We start from the raw sequence: 25,400 nt of genomic DNA on the forward strand, positions 1-25,400 counted from the left end.
GCCAGCCCTGAGAGGCTGGGAGGAGACAAAGGGAGCCCCTGAGGGGATAAACTGTTGGTAAAAGTCACACATATTCACTCTAGGACACATCTCCTGTGTAACACTGTCCGGAACTCCAATCCCTGACTTCCAAGGATCCAAGCCTGTAGCTGAGGATCCGAAGGTCCTGCTAACCTGACTCACTAAGGACTTCAAATAGAAGTTTATTGCTAACCTCACAATATTCTGTTTTTTCAAAAAGGGAAGCCTTAATCTCTGCATGGTGAGACGAACTGCAAGAAAATTTTTACCTTGTGTCTTGTGCTTTTCTGAAATCTCTAACTTTTCTACCATGAACATAAACTCTGGTCAAAATTAAATAAAAACATATAAAATCATAAAAGAAAAACAGCCCATAAAACCAAGTACCCCACAGGAAAGAGGACAGGCTCTCCCAACACAAGATAAAAATGAACATGGCTGGCATTCCTAAGAGCTGACAAAGCACTTTGCAGAGCGTCCCACTCCGTGTGCAGAGCCAGGACTCACTGTTGCAGTTCGGCTTCTCCACCCATCAAGCCGTCTGCCCTCCCAGCCACTCAAAGTCTGGGCTCACTGTGCAGTTTTAAGTGCCCAGAGCTGATGATTTGAAATCAAGGGGAAATTTGGATTTTGAAAGATAACCTTGATGAGAAGCAAGATTCAAGTCTGCCTGAATCGGGACAGGTGGAATGAATCGGGACAGGTCATCCTACAGGTGAAGCTAAAATGAGGATCCACAGGGGAGGCAGAGATGAGTGAACAGTTAGCATGAGCAGCGAACAGAGAAAGCACAATTCCAACAGCATGCGCGGAAGGCAGGTCTGGAGGACCCGGCACCACGGCAGCCCAGGGTTCCCAGAGCGAGGCTCATGAGATGAAGTCAGTGGCACATTAACCGACTCTCATATTTTAGTAATTATGTGTTTATTCTTATGATTACCTTGTTTTTATGATGATATGTGTGTTTTCCACTTACAGGACTGATACTAATCTTTCCTTTTAATACATTTAACTACAAACTGTGAATCAATGTAAGGGAAAACATGCAGGTAATCATATTTTTGTAGGTAATCATAGACGGTATCAGGATATGACAAAAATAACGGAGGTGGTACAGGGATGGCTAGAGACAGGAAATGCTCCATAGGTAATGGCCTAGCTGGCCGGCTGGCATTTTCCCTTGCTCGAGGCATGATTTGTGTGCTGATGTTCTTTCTGTCTCCTGCTGTTTTAACTTCAGCATCCAAGATGTCATAAAACCACAGCACAGTCATAAAACTTCACTCTGGGCTGAACTCTGTCTGGGCAAAATCAATCCAATTAGTCAAAATGCCTGAATGGAGCAATCAATCCTTCAAAACAGAACACATTTTATAAGGGCCTTACCGGAAAAGGCCCACAACTCAGTGCTCTGACAAAGGAAGAGGAGAAAAGGGCAGCAGTTTTAAATTTAGCTGCTTAAAAATAAGTCTTAAAAAAAACCCTCACTTGACAGAGGCTGTACATTTTAGGAAGTGCAGCAACCACCCGCCAGTGCTGCTTGACACACGGGCAAAACATAAGCTCGCAGGTGCAAGAGACGGGAGGGGGGCACGGCCACTCGACTTACTTAGTACGGACATCCTGGCCCAAGGACATGTGCACGTATATCCTGAGGCTCCCCCTAAAACTGTGTTGTGCTGAAGAAATGGTCCAGGGAGTGTGACAACTCATCTTCTATTTTGAAATCAGAATCCACGCTGGCTACTTTAAGCTTGAAATTGGGGGCAGGAGGAGGGGTCCGCTATCGGCCATCTGGCCTTTTAGACGCTGGCTTTTTTTGTTTGTTTGAATTTCGGAAATGAAGGAGGGTACACAATACAGACACATGATAAAGGAAAGGGATTAGAAATCTCCAATGTCGGAGAAAGAGAGAGGCTCGTTAGGAGAGGATGGGATGTCGGAGGAAGACCAGAACCGCAGGCGTTTAGAGAGAGCTGGGTGGGTCGTTGGAGACTTGTCTTTGTCCTTGTTTTTGCTTTTCAAAAAGGGACTCTTTTTGCGCGGAGGTGCTAAATTGTTATCAATCGGATAACCCAAAGGAGGAAGGAAAAAGAAAACACAAATAAATGAAATGAACAATAATGACAAATGAATCGAAATTAGCTAAATGTACTTAAGAAATCAGAATCCCGTCTTGCCCAGGAAAGATGAAAACAGTACACAGTACTCAAGAACAGAATCAGGGCTCAGTAATCATCTGTGCTCTGACTCAATTAATTTAAAGGCACCTGAACGCCAACAATTTATTTCCTCAGCGTGTGAGGAGAATTACATACTGCCCAAGGAGCCAATGGTCTGGATGATTTTTCGGTTTCAGTGTGCCAAATTATTAAACACTAATGCTTATTAATTTAGGGCCCAACTTCTCTTACTCATCCATTTTAATGATGGGGTCCCTAACAGCTCAGCTCACACAATCCTCCCGTTCCCACTCAAAGACCTTGGGAACATTCAATGATCCGTTTCAGGGCGCTGTAATCAAATACTCTACCTGAAGTATTCACTAATGATTCTGTATCTCTAAAATAATCTTTCGGCAGGATGAGTTTTAAAATAATTTAAATACCTCCTTTGCATACTAAAAAAAACCCTTCAACACCAAGAATCATGATTTCCTTTTAGATCTTCTATATACATCCTCCACTCCAATCCTCCACTCCTTAGCCTCTAGTGTCTTAACAAAGCAGACAATTGGGCTAACTTCCTAAACTGTCTTATAGTAACATTAATCGACCTAACCAATTTCTGATGTAGGATTAAAGTTGATACCAGGATTTCCATTATTTCTTCCTCCACAGCACCACCTGGTGGCCACAGTGGCTCACACCACAGAATAAGGGACCAACTTATTCAAGGCTGGTGTCCTTGTGGCCAGTTCAGGGCTAGGCTCTTGTTCGGCATCTTCAGGGACCCAGAGAGCTTTAACTGGAGGCAGTCCATGCAGTTAAGTGCATGCAGTTAAGAGCTCAGGCTCCGGAGTGCGGCCGACCTGCATTTGGGTCCCACTTACCCAAAGCAAATGTTTTACACTGCTGAGCCTCACTTTCTCACCTCTACACAGGGGAGGCCACGTCCACCTGCCTTGATAGGGTCGTTAGGATTCAATGAGATGCATAAAGCACATAAAGTAGTTAGAGGGTGCTGGGCCCAGAGGGAGCACCCAAGACATGGTGGCTGCTAGTGAACATGATCATGGTTTACAGACCTGCTTGCTCACGGATCACTTTGGACCAGTCAAGCATTTTTTTCTCTGAAAGTTTTCCTAACTCAGACTGATTATAGTTAATTAATTCCACTTAAAGAGTAATACAAGTTGAGATGACAAATGTCCAAAAATTAAACAGGAGCCAATATAAAAACCTGAGGCAACAGAACCCCTCTAGCTTAAAAAAAGTTAAGCTTCTCATTTACTTGCATGTGAGGCCTCTAATTTTTTTCCTTCTCACCCTGTCTTACGGTGCTGACTCTATCTAATCTTATCCCCATAAAGAATGACAGTGTGTTAGTCCCTGAACAATGTGCGTGAACATTATTTTTGTTAGAGATGGGGTGTCACTCTGTCACCCAGGCTGGAGTACAGTGGTATGACCATAGCTCGCTGCAGCCACGACCTCCTGGGCTCAAGTCGACTGAGCAGCTGAGACTACAGGTACGTGCCACCACACCTGGCTAAATAAAAATATATATATTGGTAGATGGGGGTTTCCCTGTGTTGCCCAGGCTAGTCCCAAACTCCTGGCCTCAAGTGATCCTCCTGTCTTGGCCCCTCAAAGTGCTGGGATTATAGGCATGAGCCACTGCACCAGGTCTTTTTTTTTTTTTTTTTTTTTTTTTGCATCTGAAGGGGACACAACAGGTACTTGTGAATGTGCCCCCTGAAAGGCTTGTGCACACACCACACTCAGAGGGTAGCCTGTCGCTGGTCTTCAGTGTTATATCCTCCGCCTCCAAGACCCCATGGGTCTCAGGCATAGGCTGGGTCTTCAGAAAGTCCTAGTGTCCTTTGTAAAAATTTAAATGACTTGGGATGCAGGCCTGGGATAAATAATCTCCCCAAAATGATATTTAAAGGTAAAGCTGAAAATTTAACAATGTGTAAGGTAAATGCTGTGTCTAATCGATTCTAAGACACCTTTAACGTCTTGGAAATTAGGAGGCAATTTCAGTGATGTCTCAGTCACCACTGGCCAGGTGGCCACGGTGACAAAACTGACATGGTCATAACCAACTCATCTTGGTCCTATTTTCCTTTTACGTGTGTGTACAAAAATCGAATTCTTATTTAGAAAAGCTCTTTCAACAAGAGCGTAAGAAAAATTCGAAGTGGTGGCCCTGTACCGTTTGATTGCCTCGTGGTATATAAAGTAACTGTGCAGCTTTCATGGCTCCTGAGAGTTGATGAAATACAGCATACATGATGAGAAATCCTGTTCTTGTTTCAGAACCTCTGGCAAACTCCAAAGGACAGCCCTTAGGGAAAAGGCACAGTGTGTCCTGTGGCTGGTGGGACACAAGGCCAGATCAGGCTGAAGAAGTCCTAACCCACCTTTCAAAGTGGTAACAGATAAACCACCCAAGGCTTTCGGGAGGTCTTATATACATGGAGAACGTGTTGAGTGCACCTGGGATCTCCCTGCACAAAGCAGCTTTCTACAAATCTGGCACATACGAGGCAGCCCAAAATAAGCTATGTCGCTTGTCTCTATGGTACCTGCACGAATGTCAGCTTTGGATATTGAGATATCTGCCCGGCTACATGATGAATGATACCTTTTGTTCTAAAACAACAAAAGTGGTTGGGCGTGGCAGCTCACGCCTGTAATCCAACAGTTTGGGAGGCTGAGGCGGGTGGATCACTTGACGTTAGGAGTTCGAGACCAGCCTGGCCAACATGGTGAAACCCCGTCTCTACTAAAAATACAAAAAATTAGCCAGGCGTGGTGGTGGGCGCCTATAATCCCAGCTACGTAGGAGGCTGAGGCAGGAGAATCACTTGAACCTGGGAGGCAGCCAGGCTGCACTCTAGCCTGGGCAACAAGAGTGAAACTCCATCTCAAAAAAATTAAAATAAAATATAAAATAAAGTAACAAAAGCATTATGGGACAAAACGGTCGCCACGCTGAATTTCTACTTGGCTCGTAACACATCTAAGCGAAGGCGCACATGCAGTCACCCACCCCTGGCACGTTCCTGCACACGTGTGCACAGCCACCGGTGCGGGACCCTTCAGGACACCCCCTTCCTCACCCGACCACGGCCAGGACGGCCGCCCCTACCTTTCCCCACAGACCCGTTGTGGGCGTCGCGCTCTTCTGCACAGTTGGAGCCCAGTGCGGGGGTGTCGGGGTTCTCGGCCTGTGATCTGAGCGGCTGAGAGGCCGCCGGCGAGGCGGGGTCTGAGGACTCCAGCTGCCAGGGAGGGCTGTCCACGGTGGATTTTAAGCGTTCCCTCGAACCCTCTTTCTTTGGTTTGATGAGTTTGACTAAGGCTTTGGCTCCAATCCAGTGGTTCTTCCTGGTTAGAAGTAGATGTTTAGGACATAGCCAGCCCTCCCACACACCCCCAGTGGGTCCCTGGTTCCCTAACATGGGCTGGGATGTTCTTCCCCAGTCTGGGAAGCTAGGCCACTCACGTGGGGTTCAGGACAATGACGCTCATGACCATGGTAATCATATTTGGGGCTCAGGAGCTAGAACTTAATTCTCAGTTTGGCACAGGGCTGGGGATGGTAGAGCCATGTGCATTGTGACAGAAATCCACTCTAGTCTCCCAGGATGAAGGAAGTGATGCCGTGCTTAATTTAGTTGGCAATTTTTCTGTCAAAAAGCCATTTCCATGAATCTCATTTTCTGCTAAAGTTAATAATCAGTGAAATAAGCTGGCATTCCCTTGACTCCTCCCTGGCACTGAGTAATCTGGGTGAGGTGGAGAGGGCAGAGGAGAGCAGGCTGTTTGATTAAAAATCAGTGCATTTAAAGAGTAAGCAATAACATCACAGCGAGCTGGACACCGAGGGCATCCTGGTGTGACATGAAGAGAACCCTGCCTGTGCTCTCACCCCGTCTCTGAAACGAAACAGCATCTATTTATATTATCACTCCAGTTTCTCATCTTGGCTTCAATTTCTGTGTCAAACAGAAGATTCAGACTGAGGTTCTGGGCCAGGCATGGTGGCTCACGCCTGTAACCCCAGCACTTTGGGAGGCCGAGGTGGGTGGATCAACTTGAGGTCAGGAGTTCGAGACCAGCCTGGCCAACATGGTGAAACCCCATCTCTACTAAAAATACAAAAATTAGCTGGGCGTGGTGGCACATGCCTGTAATCCCAGCTACTCGGGAGGGTGAGGCAGGAGGATGGCTTCAACCTGGGAAGCGGAGGTTGCAGTGAGCTGAGACTGTGCCATTGCACTCCAACCTGGATGTCACAGCGAGACTCCGTCTCAAAACAAAACAAAACAAAACAAAACAATAAGCACACACACAAAAACCAAAAACAGACTGAGGTTCGGAAATTCTGTGGTTCTGGATTCCCAGAGAGACCTCAAGGGATTTGCAGTGATTTTGACTTCAAGGCTGGGCCAGGACAATCCGAAGGGACAATTCCTGGGGCTCAGGCCGTGGACAAGGGGCAGCACTGCTAGGGTGGGCCAGCCCCACTTGGGGAGAGCTGCTGCTCTCTGGGGAAGAGACATGTCCATGAAGCCACCCTGAGGTTCTGTGAATCCAGAAAAATCTGCATAAGGTCAAAAGGTTCCCACATTTGAAGACCATGGGGGCTGGGCCAAGTGTGCTGCCCAAGCATCCTCTCCAAAATAGGAACATGGGTGTCCAGGTCATGTTTAATCCTGAGACGAAAACCTGACAAGGCAGCCCCGCCATCCTGCTTGAGTGACTCCAGGACCACGGATGCTCTGCCCCCTTAAAAAAGGCTCATAGCTAAATGAAGCCTGTGTCTCATTGGGGTCACCAGACATTGGCCACCCCTCACAGGACAAGCTAGAGTACAGAGGCAGGCTGGAAGGATTCTGAACTCTCTCTGATGTGGGAGGCATCTGTGCACAGGTGGATGGTGCGGGGCCTGCCCTAGATGGCTGCTTTCACCCTGTGCACAGAAAAGGAAGCTTTTAAGTTCTGTCTTTATGCCACTACACTTAAATCAACTCACTTCTTTGGAGGAGGATCATAGAACTTGTATTGATCCATGATTTTTTCTTCCAGCTTTTCCTTATGTCTTCGTAAGGCATTTAATTTGTCTCTGTGAATATAGGAGAAAGAAAACCTATCAATCCAGTTTTAAATCAAACAAGTGAATTTACTCATCGGCCCAGCCTGGAACCTGGTGTACCCGGGGCTGGTATTTTTCCAGGATTGAGATGAGGGTGCTCACCACCGTCATGGTCACTGAGTTTGGAATACGGGAATGGTGGCATGCGCCGTGGGTTCAGGGAGCTCTATGACCCTGAGATTTACTGAAGCCCCTGGGACCCAGCTGTGAGCGAGCTCAAGGCAGCAAACTTCTAACAATCTGAAAACTCACGCTCGGAAGACCCAAGGATTCTCCTTCCAGGTTGTTCAAGACGTGAGATGCTCCTGGGGTCAGGCAGAACCTACCCCGCAGTGGTGACGGGGCGGGGTTCAGGGGGTACATATTAACAACACCTGGGCAGTGAGGTTGAAAAAGTCAGCTCAGCAAAGTCAGATGCATGACTCAGGCCCATTCCCACTCAGAAGCAAACTGAGAAGCTTTCAGGGGCCAGAAAGAGAAGTTAATGAGCACAGCAGGGCTGGAGAAACCAGGGGCGCTAGTGGGGACTGCAGTGAGCCCCTGTGCTGCCATCTCCGGCAGACCCTGCTGCCACAGGGGAATGAACCAGGGCACAGTGGGGCGGACTTCCCGAGATACCAGATGCCCAGATGATGAAGCCAAATCTCCCGATTCCTAAATATTGGAAATTGAGCCACTTTTCAAAAACTCTGCCAGGGACCAAAGAGATATCTCTTGAATCTTGGGCGGGCTCAGGCACCTCTGCTTACCGGGGAGACCTTGGCCTTCCTCATACAAACAGAAAGCTTCTGTTTGCACTTAGGGAGTCACGGGGCTGCGCCCACAGTGCATTCGGAGCCGCGCTGCCCATGGTACTGAGGACTGCTGCCCACTCATGCCTCAGCGCTGGGTGGTCTTGAGAGCCCAGACCCTTGGTTTCCTCGTCTGAAAACGAGGCCTTACATGAGAGGTAACAGCTCATTCTCGAAGCTGCCAAGGTCCTGCCCCAACTGAGGGCTTTCCCAAGAGCTCACGGTGAGGTGAGCCCCTGTAACAAGTGACCCCAGCCACGCTCCGCTCCCAGTCCCTTGACTCGACATCCGTGTGCTGGTGTTCTGTGCTCACGGCCGTGCTGCTGAGCCTTAAGCCTTGAGTGCTTCATGGCTGGGGTTGGCCCCACAGACTCACACGAACTCCAGGGCCCGGAGCAGGCCCCAGGAAGCCTGCCAACCCACTGGCCTGGAGTAGACACTGTCTAATGCAAAAACGTCATCAAATAATCCCCCTGAGTGCTCCTATACTTCTTCCAGTTAGCACCTGCCCAACCTCTGCTGGCGATATTTTATCACCGGGATTATAGAGGGCCAACTTCAGGGTCATTTCCACCCCACAATTACAGTGTGCTTTTACATACAAACCATCCTCCCGAAGGTGGCACGCCAGCCCTAGACACGTAGGTGAAGCCGACAGAATAACAAAGGAGCATCGTTACATCAGAGAGTTGGGATAGCACACCAGTGTTCACTGTGACCACAGTGACCACGTCCCACCACAAGCACGTCCCTTCTTGCCTTCCCCACACTGATGCCAGCACACCAATGCCTGCCCGGACGCCAATACCAGCCATTCCCGATCACGTGGAAGGACAGCCCAACCACCATGGCTAGGATCCAGAAACCACTCTAGATTCTCGATTCCTCGACTTCTGAACCACGAGATTCCTGGCACCAGGGTTCGTCCCCTTGCCTTCTATTTCTGGAAGCTTCCCTGGCCCTGCCAGAGTAGTATCCCTTCCAAAACAACTCCAGGAATCCAACATCTTTAGCTGGACATGGAAGCTACCACAGCTGAGCGCCCACCTCCTTTTCCAGCCTTCTCTCTGGGTGCCTCCTGCACATTCCCCGCACTTAGACCACCTGCCACAGCTCACCTTCCCGTCCTCACCTGCCACGGCTGACCTTCCTGTCCCCTCACCTGCCACAGCCCACCTTCCTGTCCTCACCTGCCACGGCCCACCTTCCCGTCCTCACTTGCCACAGCCCACCTTCCCATCCTCACCTGCCATAGCCCACCTTCCCATCCTCACCTGCCACAGCTCACCTTCCTGTCCCCTCACCTGCCACGGCCCACCTTCCTGCCCCCTCACCTGCCATGGCCCACCTTCCCATCCTCACCTGCCACGGCCGACCTTCCTGTCCCCTCACCTGCCACGGCCCACCTTCCCATCCTCACCTGCCAAAGCTCACCTTCCTGTCCCCTCGCCTGCCACGGCCCACCTTCCTGCCCCCTCGCCTGCCACAGCCCACCTTCCTGCCCCCTCACCTGCCACGGCCCACCTTCCCGTCCTCACCTGCCACGGTCCACCTTCCCATCCTCACCTGCCACAGCTCACCTTCCCATCCTCACCTGCCACGGCCTACCTTCCTGTCCCCTCACCTGCCACGGCCCACCTTCCTGTCCCCTCGCCTGCCACGGCCCACCTTCCTGTCCCCTCGCCTGCCATGGCCCACCTCCTGTGGGCCTCCCCCAGACCCCCTGGGGTAGCTGTGGACTTCAACTCCCCCTGTTTTTTTTCCATGCTTCATGTAACCCTTCACATCTGGCTGGTAATGGATGAAGCTCTGTTCACATTTTACCTCCCCCTACTGGTTCCTGGCTACCAGGGAACTGGTTCTGTGCACCTCACAGGGCCCAACAAGCCCACTTCCCTCCATCCAGGGGGACACAGGCAGGTGTACAGCACTCATTCCCAGCCTTCAGTTTGAATTCTCCCCCTTGAGATACTTCAGTGTTCTCATGATTTTTTCAAGTGAATTTAATTCTAGAAGCAGAGAAAAGAAGTTTCTGGTGGTGGAAAGCGCCTCTGAAAGAGCAAACAAAAGCCAACTGAGAACTCTAGAAACTGAGAACATTCCAGGAAACTAAGGGCAGTCCGTGCTGGTGATCGGTCTGTGCCCTGCCCTCAGGATCCCAACGGGCCCAGGGGCTCCTCTCTGCATGGGAAGCCAGGACCTCCAGAGACTGAGGATGTGCAGCTGTGGTGAGGGTGCGGAGAGGGGTTCAGGGACTCCCTGCTTACATGTACTGCTTCTGCTCCTCATGGTACTGCTCCTTGTTCTCCATGTTCTGCTCCAGAAGCATCTGGTTCTGCTGGCTCAACAGCTGGATCTGGCTCAGGAGGTGATGATTTTCTTCCTCCAAGTTCCCCTTGAGACGGGAGAGCAGCTAGAACACAGACCAACAGCGTCTCAGACACCATGTGACCCGGTGTTCCCACTGCTGGGAACCTAGCTCCCAAAGGAAGAAGGCCACTGCACAAAGATGTTCAACGCAGCATAATCTACGCCAGTGGAAACTTGGAAAGGGCCAAACGGCCAATAACGTGGGAATGGCTGAGTTCCCTCTGCAGCTGCATTGTTTAATCCAGATGTCCCTGGCAACATGGCTACTGAGCAGTAAAATGCAGCTAGTCTGAATCATGATGCACAAGTGCAAAATACGCAGCAGATTTTGAAGGCTTAGTACAAATAAAAAGAATACGAAAAATCTCATCAATAATGTTTTCGTTTGTTTGTTTTGAGATGGAGTTTTGCTCTTGTTGCCCAGGCTGGAGTGGAGTGGCATGACCTCGGCTCACTGCAACCTCCGCCTCCTGGGTTCAAGCGACTCTCCTGCCTCAGCCTCCTGAGTCTCAGCTGGGATTACAGGCGCGTGCCACCACGCCCAGCTAATTTTTTGTGTTTTTAGTAGAGACGGGGTTTCATCATGTTGGCAGGCTGTTCTCAAACTCCTGACCTCAGGTGATCCACCCGCTTCAGCCTCCCAAAGTGCTGGGATTACAGGCGTGAACCACCGCGCCTGGCCTGAAGTCTGCCAACTTCTGTTCTAGAGTATGATTGGGGTGCAATGGGAAAATCACAGGCTTTGGATTCCAATACGCGACTATGAGAAAGGAGGATGGGCTCATGGGGCCACCGTAAGGACTGAGTAACATAGAGGAGAACACAGCAAAATGCCTGGTACACCGGAGGTGGGAAACATAGGCTGTCCCCTCCTCTTCACCCCATAAGCAATTCTAACTTTAACTTCACCATTAAAAGAAAAACCAAAATTCTACCTGTTTTTAATATAATTATACATAATTTATGCATACAGTGAGAAGAACTGGAAGGAAAAAGGAGGTGAAGCTATGGCATTTTTTCACTAAAAATACTTCTGTGATTGCCACTGCTATATTGCTTGGGCAAGAATTAAAACAAATACCATAATAAAGCATTAGTCTCCCCAGTGTAGAGAACTGCACGAGGCTTGGGAGTCAGGCACGTCACAAACGTGGCAAGTCAGCGGTCTGCAGGGTGAAAGGCCGTCCCTGGAAACTCAGCTTTGGCCCAACAGAAAGACCCTGTGTGGCCGGGGGGGCCCCAGGGAACCAAGCCGGCTGGGCCCCACCCTTCAGCCCAAGTCCATGATCCTGAGGGCCAGTGCATCCCAGTAACGATGGGGGAGCTGCTCTTCCACCTCATTAGATGCCGGGCAACAAACCAACCCAATGTAAGGCATATGGGCTCCTGGAGAGAGGCGGGTTAGGAGGAGCGGCGAGCACGGCTCCGAGCACAGCCACGCCCTCATCACTTCGCTTATGCTGCTTCGCTTCTGCCACAGGGTGAACCATGTCCCCAGAATTCATACAGTGAAGCCCTAAGCCCCAGTCCCTAGCATGGGACTGCATTTGGAGACAGGGTCCATAAAGAGGCCATTAAGTTAAAATGAGGCTGCCATGAGGGTGGGCTCTGATCCAATCTGACTGATGTCCTTTCAAGAAAAGGAAATCTCGACACGTAGATACTGGGAATGAGCCCGCACAGAGAAAAAGAGCACTGCCTGCAAGCCAGGGAGAGGCCTTGGGAGAAACCAGCTCAGCCCTGCCGGTTCACGGATCATGGACGTCCAGCCTCCCAACCGGAAGAAACCCACCTCTGCGGCTTAAGCCACCCGGCTTGAGGTCTTTTGCTCCTCCAGCCCAGGGAGACGAACATGGTTTCCATGTGTGGCCTGTTTGGGGGGACTGGTTTGTGCTGGACCTGGAGTTCTGCTGAACCCCTCCCCAAAAGCCACCATCCTGGCCACAGCCCTTCCCTTGTCCCCTCTCGTGACCTGTGTTCCACCCTGAGTGAATCATCAGCATCTTCCAAAAAGTACCCCTGTCCATTTCTGTGCAAATCAGTCCTTCCCATGCAAAGCCTACCACACATGTCCAGCTCTTGCCAGTCCTTCACTTCATCAGCGTGACCTTTTCCACGGGGCCTGCGCTGCAGCCCCTGACCTGAAACCTCCTGGAAGATCCTGACGCACCTGCCTGTGACAGCACAGCCCCTGGGGGCGAGGATTCCACAGGCAGTGCCGTGGCCTTTGCCTCCATCCCGCCTCCACCCCCGTGGGGCCCTCAGGGTCCCAGGGTCTCTCATTCTCAGGGGGCAGCACAAGATCTGGGTGGGTGGCTGTGACAAGGCATCTTGGCACCCTGCGCCTCGGTTTCCTCATTTGTGATGTCTCACAGGGCTACTGAGGGATCTGGGCAAAAGGCGTCTGAGACTGTTTCTCAAAGAGCAAACCTTGTCCTGAGGTGCCAGCTGTCCCTGGGGCTGTCTAGGAGGTGGGGTGAGACCTACGTGCTCCTCCCTGCCAGACCTGCCTCACCAGCCTTCCATGTGCTGAGGTCTGTTAAGATCTCATCTGGAGAGGGTCTTGCTGCGTGAGGCCATTTCCAACCTTGTGTACTAGAAGGGACGGCTCTGGAAGCCAGGGACTCCCGAGTGAGCTCCGTCCCAGAGGCAGCCACACCCCAAAATGGAGCAAATTCACACCACTTCTCTAGGACAGTGTGACTACTGAACTGAAGAGATGTAGGAAGACAGTATAGACACAGCTAAGAGGATCGAGATAAAACATCATCAACCGTCCCCACTGTGCCTCTCCCGACCCTGCAAAAGGTGACGGTCAGACAGGGGTGTTTTCGTATACAGTCCCACCAGAAGCCACAATGACCCCCGTCAGCACCTCTGGCTTCACCGCAGCCTCTGTGCCACCTCCACACATTTCTGTCTTTGAGCACAAATGCCCATGAGGACCCCTCACAGCTTGGCTGAGCCCTGGGCTGTCCCCTTGGGGGACTCATCCCTGTCTCCCGAGGCTCCCCTGGCGCTGGCCTCACCTCACAGTGGTTGTCCAGCTTGGTCAGCGAGATGTCCATGGTCTGGTGCTGCTCCTTCAGCTCGTCGAAGCGGGCCTGCCAGCGGTTGAGCTCCAGCTGCGCGTTGTTCAGTGAGGTTTTCAGCTCCTTGGTGTGGGCGTGCAGCTCCTCGTACTCCCCCTTCAGCTGGTGGTGCAGGAAATTGACCCTGGAGGAGGAAGAGTCACAGGGCAAAGGAGCTGAAGAGCCTGACAAACAGGTAACGGCCCAGAGACCTGGGCTATGTCCCAGCTCTGACAGTGGCAGGCTGTGCAACCTTAGACAAAATCACAACCTCTCTGGGCTTTTTTTTTTTTCCATGCATAAAATAAGGAGCTTGGACAAAACTGTCCATCAGCAAACTGTGTTCTTTGGGGATGCATGAGGGTACCCCTGATGCCACTACACTGAGCCTCCAGGGAGACTGAGCAGGCAAGCTCAGACACCTGTTTCAACACAGCATCACTGCTACCATCACTTCCATGCTACAGCTTTGGTATCTGTGTACACTTGAAAAACAAGATTCTGCTGTTTAAAAAAATGTTTAAACCACTAAACTAGACCATTTTTGCTCTAAAATTCTGTCTCTGCCCAGCTCTTCTTCCCAATTCCAAGCCCCTTTCTAATTTCAGCTCGTGAGATAAAGTGTGAGATGGTGTGTATTATGTAAATCTATTAAAATTGCTATCATCAAAACAACTATTATCCAACTGGGAGTTCTCTGGAGATTTATATCAGAAAGCTCATTACCAGGGTCTTGTGGACTTGATTTGGACATAGACGTGTCTTATTTGGCCTGTACAATTTTACTTTTTAAAAACAAATTAGTTGACCAGGTATGGTGGCTCACGCCTGTAATCCCAGCACTCTGGGAGGCTGAGGAGGGAGGATCGCTTGAGGCCAGTTCCACACCAGCCTAGGCGACATAGTGAGACCCCCATCTCTGCAAAAAGTAGAAAAAAGTTGCCGGGAACCCGGGAGGCGGAGCTTGCAGTGAGCCGAGATCGCGCCACTGCACTCCAGCCTGGTGACAGAGCAAGACTCCGTCTCAAAAAAAAAAATGTTGCCGGGCATAGTGACGCACACCTGTGCTCCCAGCTACTTGGGAGGCTGGGCTGGGAGGATCACTTAGGCCCAGGGAGTTAAGGCTGCAGTGAGCCATGATCATGTCACTCCAGCCTCAGTGGCTGAGCAAGATCCCATCTCAAAAAAAAAAAAAAAATTTAGTGGCCAGCATTAAAAAATTTGAAGTTTACATCAATACCCAAACATTCAGGTTCTCTTAAAATATAAAAAACAAAAGGCTGCCCAGGCAGTCCCGGGCCCGCCTCCAGCTGGCGGCCTTTGCTGGAGCCGATTCTCTGCTGCCCTTTTAGACGATGTGCATTCTCCGTTCAACAGTCTGTGGTCTATGTCTGGTACTGTTTCACCCATGTGCTTTATTTGCCTGGGGAGCCAAGGTAACTGAGTTTCTAACCCCCCGTATACACGAACTCGAGTATGTGGGAGGAGGAAGAATTTCGTATGGTCAAGCCTTTGCAATGAGACAGGACCTGGATTCCATCCTGACTCTGCTATTCACTAGAAACACTGACTCGGAACAAGTTATTTAATCTCTCCCAACCTGTTTCCTCATCTGTTAAAAAGAAAGCCAAAAAGATAACAATAGTATAGTCGATTCTCATTATGTGTGGTAGTCACATTCTATAAAGTTGCTGTAAACACTGAATTAGTGAACAGCGAAGCATCCAGCCTAGGGAAAAAATATAGAATTAGGTTCCCGGGAGCCTCTGGCCACATTTTTGTTACTGATCAATACATAACCTTGTTTTATGTGGGTTTCTGTTTGAAGATACCTTATGCAGCAATTCACAGCCAACAGCACTATAACTCATGCCTGAACAAAGCTTATCTAAGACTTTTTCTCTGTAAGGCACATCACAGCCACCTTCTGCTTAGGGACATGAAACAGCACTTCAGTACTACAATTGTGGGTCATTTTAAACAGCAAAGTCACTTCCCGAAAGCACAAAATATGAAAACCGTGGCATTGAAGAGATTCTGAAAGGGACATTTGTTTGCAGTAGGAGCTGAAACAAGAAGGCAGCGTGCTGTCGTGTGTGCCCTCAGCTGGGAAGGTGCGCATCCAGTGACTCCCGCATTTCACCACTCTGTGCGTGTCCACGAAAGCCCCACGGAGACTGGTCTTGGGGCGGCAAATAAAACTTTAGCAAGTAGGTGGATTCACAAATAGGGGTTCTGTGAATCATGAGCAATCTGCAGTTTCTCCTTCATGAGCAAGAGGCAGGCTTATGCCAGATGATGAATTCACCTGTGCCTGATGCAATCCTCACCACAAGGGTGGGAGGGGAGAACCACTTAACTCAGACGACGCGCCATCCCCAGGTGTCACCTGAGTGCTCTCATGCCAGCAACCAGCTAGAGTTGCCCTTTAGCTTATTTTACCCACCCAGCTGTTCACACAGCAAGGGATAAAAATCCACGATCGCCAGGGGACTTGAACTTCTCAGTGGTTGCTATGCAAGGAGAGTCTGAACAGAATCTGGGGTGCTGCTATGTGCAGGGCCGGGCGCCGGCGCTCACCTGTCCAGCTCGCCCCGCAGCCTCTGGTTCTCGCCCATGGCGAGGGCGTTTGTCCTCTGCTCCTGCTGCAGCGCCTCTCGCTCAGTGGTCAAGACCTTCTCCCGCTCCTCCAGCTCCGCCTTGCGCTTCAGCATGTCACCGTGCCTGTTGGAGGGAAGCACCTGCCGTGAGTCTGGCCAGGGCCTTCTTTTCCGACAGGTAACTCACATCCCAGAGGATCTGCGTGCCTCCCGTGAGAAAATGGGATTCCTCTGGAGAGTCTCTCTGCAGAAGTGAGGGGCATGGGGCAGGGAACAGGCGGGGAGCGCAGCCACTGGGAGCCATGTCAAGGCCAGCGCCAAGCCCTGGAGCCCAGAATCCTCTTCCTCCAGCCCGTTCTGTCTCCATAGTCCCTCCATGCCCTGATAAAGCAGTCGCTCTTCCTTTAGCCACCTGACAATGTGATGACTACATTTTCTGAGCTCCATGCCCTTCTCTTTTAGGGAATTATAAATACGCTACTAGGTAGTTCACTAAGCACAAATAAATCTAAGAGAAACCACAAAACAAACAGTGGAATTCCGCTGCACATCACAGCTAATCTCACCCTCCAAGGGCTGGAGAAGCCTCTCCCTCTCCCCTTAGGAGCCTGCATCCACTTGTTCTTAGTCTGGCCTTCCCCAGGGGACAGAGGCTCACCCAGGAGCTGCCAGGGACTAGTTGTCACATACACACAGCAGCTCTCCTCAGGCGCCTTAGCCACAGCCCTCACCGTCCCCACAACTTTCTCCTTACCCTCAAGGCTCTAATCTTCTCCAGGCTCTAATCTATCTTTGTCGGCTGCACTGGCCATCTCTTGGGGGGCAGAGTACAATGATGTAGCCCCATAGGTCCCGGCCCCTCCCCTTCCCAGCCTGTTTCAACCTCGTGTGTTCACGGGTGACCCAGGATCTCCTAGCAGACTGGAAGTGTTGAGAAGTCTGAGGCACAGTCTCCTGATCTTTCCCATTCAGGCAAATTCTTCTCTACAGACCCCTTCCTGAGTGTCTCACACCCAAAGACAATCTGACAGAGGCTAGCCAGTGTCCCTGGGGTTTCTGGCCTTTCTCTTCAGGACTCCACTGCACCTTGTTGGAAAAGCACATTAATCAAGCATGTCTCTAACCATTAGCAATGACCCAACTGTAGGGCAGAAACTTTATAACTCTTACTCACCACTGAATCCCCGTGTGAGGAATGACACGTAGTGAATGCTTGTTAGAGCAATGAGTGGGTGAGCGTCTCCGATTTTAGTGTCAAATGAGAAGAAGAGAAAACCATCATCCTTGTGTGCCATGTACCTACACTCCTAAACCTGTAGCCCTGCTGCAGACACAGCAAGGGAGCCTCCAGTCATCTGTCCAACCAGCAAAAAGCACTGAGTAACTACCACATGCTGTACTGAGCAAGGACCTGCAGGGAAAACAACAGTCCAGACTCCACCTGCCAAAACCTTTGCTCTCTGAATGCACATTAAGAATACAATAAGGGGTCAGCACGGTGGCTCACGCCTATAATCCCAGCATTTTGGGAGGCCGAGACAGGTGGATCACTTGAGGTAGGGAGTTCAAAACCAGCCTGGTCAACATGGTGAAACCCCATCTCTACTAAAAAATACAAAAATTAGCCGGGTGTGGTGGTGCATGCCTGTAGTCCCAGCTACTTGGGAGGCTGAAGTAGGAGGATTGCTTGAAGCCGGGAGGTGGAGGCTGCTGTGAGCCAAGATCGCTCCACTGCACTCCAGCCTGGGCGACAGAGTGAGACTCCATCTCAAAATAAAGAAAGAAGGAAAGAATACAATACAGCATTATTTAATACGACATAACATAACACTAAGAATAAGGCACGCAAGTGCCTGGTGAGTGCTGGGCATCATGCTAGTATCAGACTTACACGAATGCTTCATTAGTTTGTCAGCTGGGTGCAACTCCTACCATGTCTAGACACAGCACCACGTACACAATAAATGTCACACAAATAACAAGATGGGTGGGGGAAGACGAGGGAGAGATCAAAGTGAAAAGAGGCAGAAGATGCTACTTTAGGCCGGAAGGAGTAGTCTTATAGTTTCAGATGCCTCAACAGCCCCTGAAGGATGGAGATCTGGATGGATAAAAGGGGTGAAGAACTCCAGATAGAGACAAAAAGGAAGCACTTGGCAAGTGAATAAATGAATGTCATCACCACCCATGAACCCACAAGCATCATCAGCGCCCGCACAAGGCTTTTGTGATTCAATGACATTTGTGGCTCCTGACCGTGGAGATGTCCTCCCCACTCCCACCTTGAAGAACCAACGATCACTTAGCCATGTTGTTGAGGCGGCTCCAAAGGATATACCATCAGCAGGGCCATTTCCCAGGCAAAGGAAGTAGATCTTGCTCCCTCTGTTGTACTCCAAGTACCTGAGAGCCTCTCTTTAGCCATGTCTCTCTCATGCATCAGATTCAGGTGCACATCACACCTGCCCCTCAGACTCTGGAGAGCAGCATCCTACCTCTCCTAGCCCTCCCTGGATCCTGCCATGCCCTGCGCAGGTGCCTGGTACCATCACTGATCAGCAGGAGACAGAATCCCAGCCCAGATTGGCTGACTTAATGAATACAAAACCCAAGACCATGAACTGTCAAGAGTGCAAAGTTAAGATGTGTGCATTTCAATGTAAGTTTTACCTGTAAAAAATGGGGTGAGGGTGTGGAGAGTGGGAGGTGCACATGAAATGAGAACAGCAGGACATAAATGACTGTCGAGAGTGCATGATGCATACACAAGAGTTTCACTATATGATTCTGCTTCCTTTCTATATGTTCGGAAGTTTCCATAATTAAAGGTTAAAAATGAAAAAAAGCAAGCGAGACCTTGATATGAAAGAGAAGAGCTGGGAGGCCAGAGAAGGCATACCCCTACAAACGGAGCCGTGGAGAATTCCCTCCTTATTTCTGTTTTGGGGAGAAAAGAGACAGAAGAGAACCCTTAGGGATCAGGGCCCCAAAGGCCCACTGGAAATAGTAGAGGCATCCCCTTCTCCACACAGGAGCCCCTCTTACTACTGTCTTCAGTTGCACAAATTCCAAATTGCTAAAGGTAACGTTTATTTCCTTCCTTTTGGGAAAGCTCAGGTGCCCCAACAATGGGAAGCAGCTGGCCAAGAGATTTCCTGCAGGGGAGGTCCAGGGAAGTCCCAGTCCTCCGCGCAGCCTGACAGACTCCCCAGGCCTGGCCTCAGGCCCCGCTGCAGGCCTACCCAGGGGCCCCACCTCCACCCTCCTTCACCTCCCCTCCCCACACACCCTGCCTCTCCCCCGGGCCCTGCCCACTTCCCCAAAGCCCTGCCTCTCCTGAGACCCTCTCCTGAGACCCCACCTCTGCTCCAGGCTCCACCTCTCCTCCAGGCTCCACCCTTCTCACGAGGCCCCCGCCTCTCGTCCAGGCTCCACCCATCTCCCCCAGTCCCTGCCTTTCCCACAGGTCCTACCCACCTCCCCCAGACCCCGCCTCTCTCCAGGCTCCACCTCTCTCCCCAGGCTCTGCCTCTCCTCCAGGCTCCACCCCTCTCCCCAGGCCCCACCCCTCCTCCAGGCTCTATCACTCTCCCCCAGGTCCCACCCATCTCCTCCAGGCTCCACCCATCTTCCCCAGGCCCTGCCTCTCCCCTAGGTCCCACCCATCTACCCCAGGCCCCACCTTTCCCCCTGGGCCCAGCCTCTCCTCTGGACTCTACCCCTCCCCAGATCCCCTTCCTTCCCCAGGCCCTACCTCTCCCCGAGCTCCTTGTGCTCCAGCTCCAGATTCCGATGCAGTGTCTTTAGGCAGCTGTGCTGGCGGATGAGGGCCTCGTACTCGGCCGATTGCCGCTCGTGCAGCGTGCCCAGGTGCTCGTGGTCCTGCAGCAGGGCCTCGTAGGCCGCTGTAAGTTGCTCCTGCTGCCTCTGCAGGCTTTCGTTCTCCGTCTCCTTGGCCGTGTGGTGGTTCTGCAGCAGCGTGTACTGCGCGGTGAGCGCTGCGCTCTGGGAACTCAGCGTGGAGTTCTCCACCTGCCGAGAGGGAGAAGCGCGGCGTGGCGCAGGCCCCACAGTCAGCGAGGAGGGCTGGGGAGCAGGTCAAGTGCTCGAGCAGACACGAAAATAGCCGGGACCCTCAGGGCAGAAGACCCAGAGGGTACCCAGGATGGCTGTTCCAGAACTTAAGCAACTGCTGTGGGAAGGGGACTAAACCGCATAGACGGGCACTCAGAGGGTACTTCAGTCCTGAGCCACTCGCCACAAATGTGAGCTGCTGGGGCAGATGATGTCCTTTCCCTGGATAACTCCCTTGTGTGCTGTGCCCTCTCTGACTATTTTTTAAAAACCTCTTTTCAGCTGACTGTGGTGGCTCAGGCTTGTAATCCCAGGACTTCAGGAAGCAGAAGCAGGAGGGTCACTTGAACCAAAGAATTCAAGACCAGCCTGAGCAACATAGTGAGACCCCATCTCTACAAAAAAAAAGTATTTTTAACTTAGCTGGGCATGGTGTTGTATGCCTATAGTCCCAGCTACTTGGGAGGCTGAGGCAGGAGGACTGCTTGAGCCCAGGAGTTGGAGGTTATAGTGAGCTATGATTGCAGCACTGCACTCCAGCCTGGGCGACAGAGTGAAACCCTGTCTCTTACAATGAAAACAGAACCTATTTTCTAGAACAAGTATACAGAATATCTGTAAATAAGGATATAGAATACCTGAACAATACTATCAACCTACTTAACATAATTGATATTTGTATACCTCTCCATCCAACAACATCCAAAATCATCAGAAAACTGAAGAGGAGGGAATACTTCCCAAATCATTTTATGAAGCCAGAATTACCCTGATATTAAAACCAGATTAAGACTGTAAGAAAAATTCAAAATAGTAAGTCAATATACTATTTTCTTGTTACCAGAACAAATTCCGATTTCTTTGCCAAACAGTTTCCTGTTGATTGTCCTTGCCCCATAAGATACATATTTTCAAACTTTTCTCAGAAATTGCAATAAAAAGCCAGGTGTGGTGGCTCACGCCTGTAATCCCAGCACTTTGGGAGGTGAGGTGGGTGGATCATTTGAGGTCAGGAGTTCGAGACCAGCCTGGCTAACTTCGTGAAATCCCATCTCTACTAAAAATACAAAAATTAGCCAAGGCACAAGAATCACTTGAACCTGGGAGGTGGAGCTTGCAGTGAGCCGAGATCGCACCACTGCACTCCAGCCTGGGTGACAGAGTGAGACTCCATCTCAAAACAAACAAACAAAAACTGCAATAAATAATTTATTTCCCCACAGTCTATAGGCGATAAATGAAAACAAGCATCTGAAGTGGCACACAACCTAGTTCTGCTTGATGCTCTCAACAGTCTGGGAGCCACTTAATATCCTACACTTCCCTCTTAGAGATTAAAAATTCACATTAGCTTAAAAAGAAAGAGTTCTGCCAGGTTCTACAGTAAAGAAACCTGGTTAACTTTGTTAAACCAAGCTTAATCCTGAAACCTCTTTTCCAAGTCAGTCCTAGTAACACTTCAAGGAAAAGACTGGAAAACATGGACAAGAATGCAAGTAAAAGGAGAGAAATGAAATGAAAATGGCCCATGCAGCCATTTTCTCAATCACTGAAAATGGCTTAAAAACTATCACCCCCTTCACTGATCACTGTTTACAGCGGGTCTCTATTAACAAAATCCCAAACTGCTTTGTGCTTTGATCTGCTGCTTTTGAGGAGTCCTAATGCCCCCAGTTGGTCCCCAGGAGCCACAGATAAACATCCCGCCAGGCTTGTGACCACTGGTGTTGGGAGCCCCGCTCACCTGCAGCTTGGCGGTCTGGGTCTGCAGTGTGGTGTTGTGCTCCTGCAGGAAGGCGCTCTGTTTCTGCAGTGTCAAGATCTGGCTGCTGAAGGTCACGTTCTGGGTCTCCAGGTGCTGCAGCTGTTCCTTTAGCAGCTGCTTCTCAGCCTGCAGAGCTGCATTCTAGAAGATCGGGAGGCATGAGCGAATCAAACTCCAACTGGGTAAATGCTAACTGGCCACAGGTACTTGGGTTGTAACGAACCCTCAAAAGTTGATGTTTTGGGGGCCAAATCGAGGGTCCGCTGGATGAGGTCAGTATATTTTCTCTCTTTGAAAAAGATAATCAGCAGGATTTTTTTTAAAGGCTACACATCATGGGGACACTGCCTGACACCTGCATATGTGAGTGGGAGGTGAATGCATGCTGGAGTTAAAGCTGCTTCCTTTGTCTCTTTAATGCTTTCCTTTGTTTTCTGTTGAACACCCTAAGAGTGCATTTCTGTGAGCTGGTTCCATCTCCCATTGACTCCAACCCTGAGTATCTCACAGGACAGGGAGTCAAAGCCTTAGGCTACAGCCTTACTCAGAGGTGACAGCAAGTAGAATAAGGCACTTCACATTATGTGAGACTAATAAAGACCATGTTAAAGTTTGCCACCAACTGGGCTAAGGGCCAGGACCTGTAGTCTTTTACTATCCCTTATTAGCATGGGGCTTTGGGTCAAGTCTCTGAAATTCTGTTTGAGCTTTATCATCGATCAAATAATGAAAATCACCACTCTGAACTTCATAAAGTCATTGTTGAGAATCAAAGTCAGAGGCACGGACATGCATTAGCAGACTTTTTCTAGAAAGGGCCAGATAGGAAATACTTTTGGGTTTGCCAGCCATGGGGTTTCCATCTCAACCTAAAGAATCATTGTCACTGTAGGGGAAGCAGCCCCAGACAACCTCTAAACAATGGGCATGACTGTCTGCTAATAAAACTTTATTTACAAAAGCAGGTGGGGGCTGGAGTTTCCCAATCCCTGGTACTGGGCACTGAAAGACACAACACTACAGGAAGAGGCTGAATTGCCATGAAGGCTGTGTGTGCCCCTGATGTGAGAATCACGGAAGGGACCTCAAATGAAGAGGGGCCCACAGGACCTGCAACTCAAGACGTGTCCAACTAGATCTGGCTAAATCTCCTGTGTTCTTTACAGCAATGACAAGTCATCAATGGGACTACTGATAAGGCAGTCTCTCTCTCTCTGTCCCCGATGGACCATGCCCAGGCCAGCCCACTCACATTCCGCTCCAGCTCGATGGCCCGGTCCTTCACTCGGAGAAGCTCCATGGTGGCTTCCTTATGGCCGGGCCCCCAGGCCTCCTTCCCCTGGTGACTGGCGGCTGTCTTCCCCGCAGGGTGCTTGAAAGAGTTCTGCAAGTGCTGCCCCTCTCCCTGGTTCTGCCTGAGGGTCTCACACTCCTTCTTTAGCTACAGGTGTGACAATAAGCAAGGAGGCTTTAGGCGGAAGCAGCCTGGCCTGGAGCCCCGAGTGAGTGGCTGAGGGCAACCTGCACCACACCCTCCACACTCCCCATACTCGCCCGCCCTGGTCTGTGTAAGCCAGACGCGCTCCTTTTCTTTTGAGGGGAAGGCACCAACCCTCTGCCCTACATTTTCCCTTCCCTTCCAGAGAGGACAGGGAGGTGGGGGCCTGCAACCCGTTCCTGCCTCAGTCCCTGCTTTAGCCATGTGGCTTCCTGCTTTCCTGAGCCTCAGTTATCCACTCCCTCAAACAGAGGTGAGGCTGAGGATACAGGAGGTGAACAGGGATGAGGTCTCAAAGCCCCTGCTGGCACTGGAGCAGCTTTATCCAGATTCCTATTCAATCCTGCAGCCAAGAAGCATGGCATGTGTTCAAAACTGAGGCTGGAAGAGTGCGTGTGTGGAAGGGGGGAGTGTGCACACCTGATCACCTGTGAGAGTGTGCACATTGAGAGCACGTGTCGGGTGTGTACACCTGTGTGTGAGGAGCATGTGTTTGTGTGTGGAGTGTGCACACACGTGGTGGGCACATGTATAATACATGTGTGTAGAGAGCATGCATGTACATGTGTAAGGAGCATGTGCATATGTGGAGAGTGTGTATGTGTGGAGAACACACATCTATATGTGTATGGAAAGTGTGTTCACACATGTGGCAAATACGTGTGCATGCATGCACCCAGAAGTAGACATGTGCATGTCCTCATGAGTCCCTGTGCACCCATCTGTCTCATCAGAGGGCACCCGTGAGACTCTGCAGGCCGTTGCTCAGTGCCCAACGTGCAGTTTCATGGAGGGCTCTCAGGGGTGTTCCCGTATCTTGCCTGGTGGACTTGGTGCTGCTCTAGGCCACTGCCCGCCTCCCCGCAGGCCTGTGGCTCTTATTCTGGTTCTGTTTGGCCCTAGTGCGTGTGATTCTGAGGGTGGCTCCCTCAGTCACTCTGTGGCGCATCTACCCCTGCCCTAGAAAATGGGTATCCAGGCCACCCCACTGCTATACAGGTGAGGGGCTGGAAAGGGTGAGGCTGAGAATGGGCAGCTGGGCCCCACAGTGCAACCTCCACACTCACCATCTGCAGCTCACTCTCTAACTGGCGATTTAGGCTCGCTTTCTCTTCCATCTGTGCTTCTAAGAGCACAATCTTTTCTTCTTTCATGGCTAGTGTTGTTTTTAATGCTGATTCATTTCTGCCCTCCAAAATCTTGTATTTTCTGGAAAACACAAAGATACAATAGTATCACTTATCTACTTCCTCTCCGCAAGTTCCCAGTGTCCTCGCTGCCAACACATCACTCCTTCCATTAGGCTGGGTTACGGAGCTGCTGCAGCTTTTGGCCCAGAAGAACTCACGAGCCAAAACTCATCTTCCCAGAGCCCTTTGGGGGGTTCCCTGGGTAGAAACACCTGTGAAACCTTCAAAGGCGACACCACGGCTACAGTTTTACAGTCACTGTCTGAGGCAGGAATTATTATTGCCATTTTACCGAAGGGGAAACTGAGTCTCAGAAAGGTTAAGCAATTTGCCCAAGGTCACAGTGCTAGGTTAAGTGGTAAGTCTAAGGCCTTTCCACCAGAGAGGACTCCTACTATAAGGCATGTGGATCTTCTCGGTTACAAGTCCAGGAAAAGTCCAAGATGTTCGATTTCCCAAAAAACAAGATCAGGCCGAGCACAGTGGCTCATGCCTGTAATCCCGGCACTTTGGGATGCCAAGGCGGGAGGATCACTTGAGGTCAGGCGTTCGAGACCAGTCTGGCCAACATGGTGAAACCCCGTCTCTACTAAAAAAATACAAAAATTAGCTGGGCATGGTGATGCATGTCTGTAATCTCAGCTACTCAGGAGGCTGAGGCGTAAGAATCACTTAAAACCAGGAGGCGGAG

The 25,400-nt window shown here is 50.5% G+C and overlaps 1 protein-coding gene across 5 annotated transcripts in view, besides 4 other annotated features; it reads right to left on the reverse strand.

Moving 5' to 3' along the window:
• The window catches only part of CCDC88C (coiled-coil domain containing 88C), a 146,498-nt gene that overhangs the window by 12,442 nt on the left and 108,656 nt on the right, over positions 1–25,400 (reverse strand). For 4 of the 5 annotated variants that reach the window (NR_189158.1, NM_001080414.4, XM_011536796.3 and 1 more), the window contains 9 exons: positions 24,587–24,728; positions 23,274–23,462; positions 22,001–22,162; positions 19,937–20,214; positions 16,163–16,306; positions 13,541–13,727; positions 10,409–10,554; positions 7,231–7,320; positions 5,341–5,579 (listed from right to left, as the gene is read on the reverse strand). Coding sequence is in view for 3 of the 5 variants with exons in the window: in NM_001080414.4 (NP_001073883.2) it covers positions 5,341–5,579; positions 7,231–7,320; positions 10,409–10,554; positions 13,541–13,727; positions 16,163–16,306; positions 19,937–20,214; positions 22,001–22,162; positions 23,274–23,462; positions 24,587–24,728 (1,577 nt within the window). In the remaining 2 variants the exon portion in view is untranslated. Of the gene's footprint in view, positions 1–1,630; positions 2,073–5,340; positions 5,580–7,230; positions 7,321–10,408; positions 10,555–13,540; positions 13,728–16,162; positions 16,307–19,936; positions 20,215–22,000; positions 22,163–23,273; positions 23,463–24,586; positions 24,729–25,400 lie in introns of all 5 variants that reach the window. The other variant, NR_189159.1, reaches the window with a different exon arrangement.
• Positions 19,439–19,498: a silencer, noted in NCBI's record as "silent region_6022". NCBI's record gives its function as "represses an Ori minimal core promoter by ATAC-STARR-seq in GM12878 lymphoblastoid cells {active_cell/tissue: GM12878}" and the evidence as "EXISTENCE:reporter gene assay evidence [ECO:0000049][PMID:35858748]".
• Positions 19,659–19,818: a silencer, noted in NCBI's record as "silent region_6023". NCBI's record gives its function as "represses an Ori minimal core promoter by ATAC-STARR-seq in GM12878 lymphoblastoid cells {active_cell/tissue: GM12878}" and the evidence as "EXISTENCE:reporter gene assay evidence [ECO:0000049][PMID:35858748]".
• Positions 21,523–22,358: an enhancer, noted in NCBI's record as "OCT4-NANOG-H3K27ac-H3K4me1 hESC enhancer chr14:91771631-91772466 (GRCh37/hg19 assembly coordinates)". NCBI's record gives its function as "activates a minimal SCP1, AML or CMV promoter by ChIP-STARR-seq in naive and primed H9 embryonic stem cells {active_cell/tissue: H9 hESC(naive and primed)}" and the evidence as "EXISTENCE:reporter gene assay evidence [ECO:0000049][PMID:30033119]".
• Positions 22,359–23,192: an enhancer, noted in NCBI's record as "OCT4-NANOG-H3K27ac-H3K4me1 hESC enhancer chr14:91772467-91773300 (GRCh37/hg19 assembly coordinates)". NCBI's record gives its function as "activates a minimal SCP1, AML or CMV promoter by ChIP-STARR-seq in naive and primed H9 embryonic stem cells {active_cell/tissue: H9 hESC(naive and primed)}" and the evidence as "EXISTENCE:reporter gene assay evidence [ECO:0000049][PMID:30033119]".

Source organism: Homo sapiens, chromosome 14 (assembly GCF_000001405.40).
Source record: "Homo sapiens chromosome 14, GRCh38.p14 Primary Assembly".
NCBI lineage: Eukaryota > Metazoa > Chordata > Mammalia > Primates > Hominidae > Homo > Homo sapiens.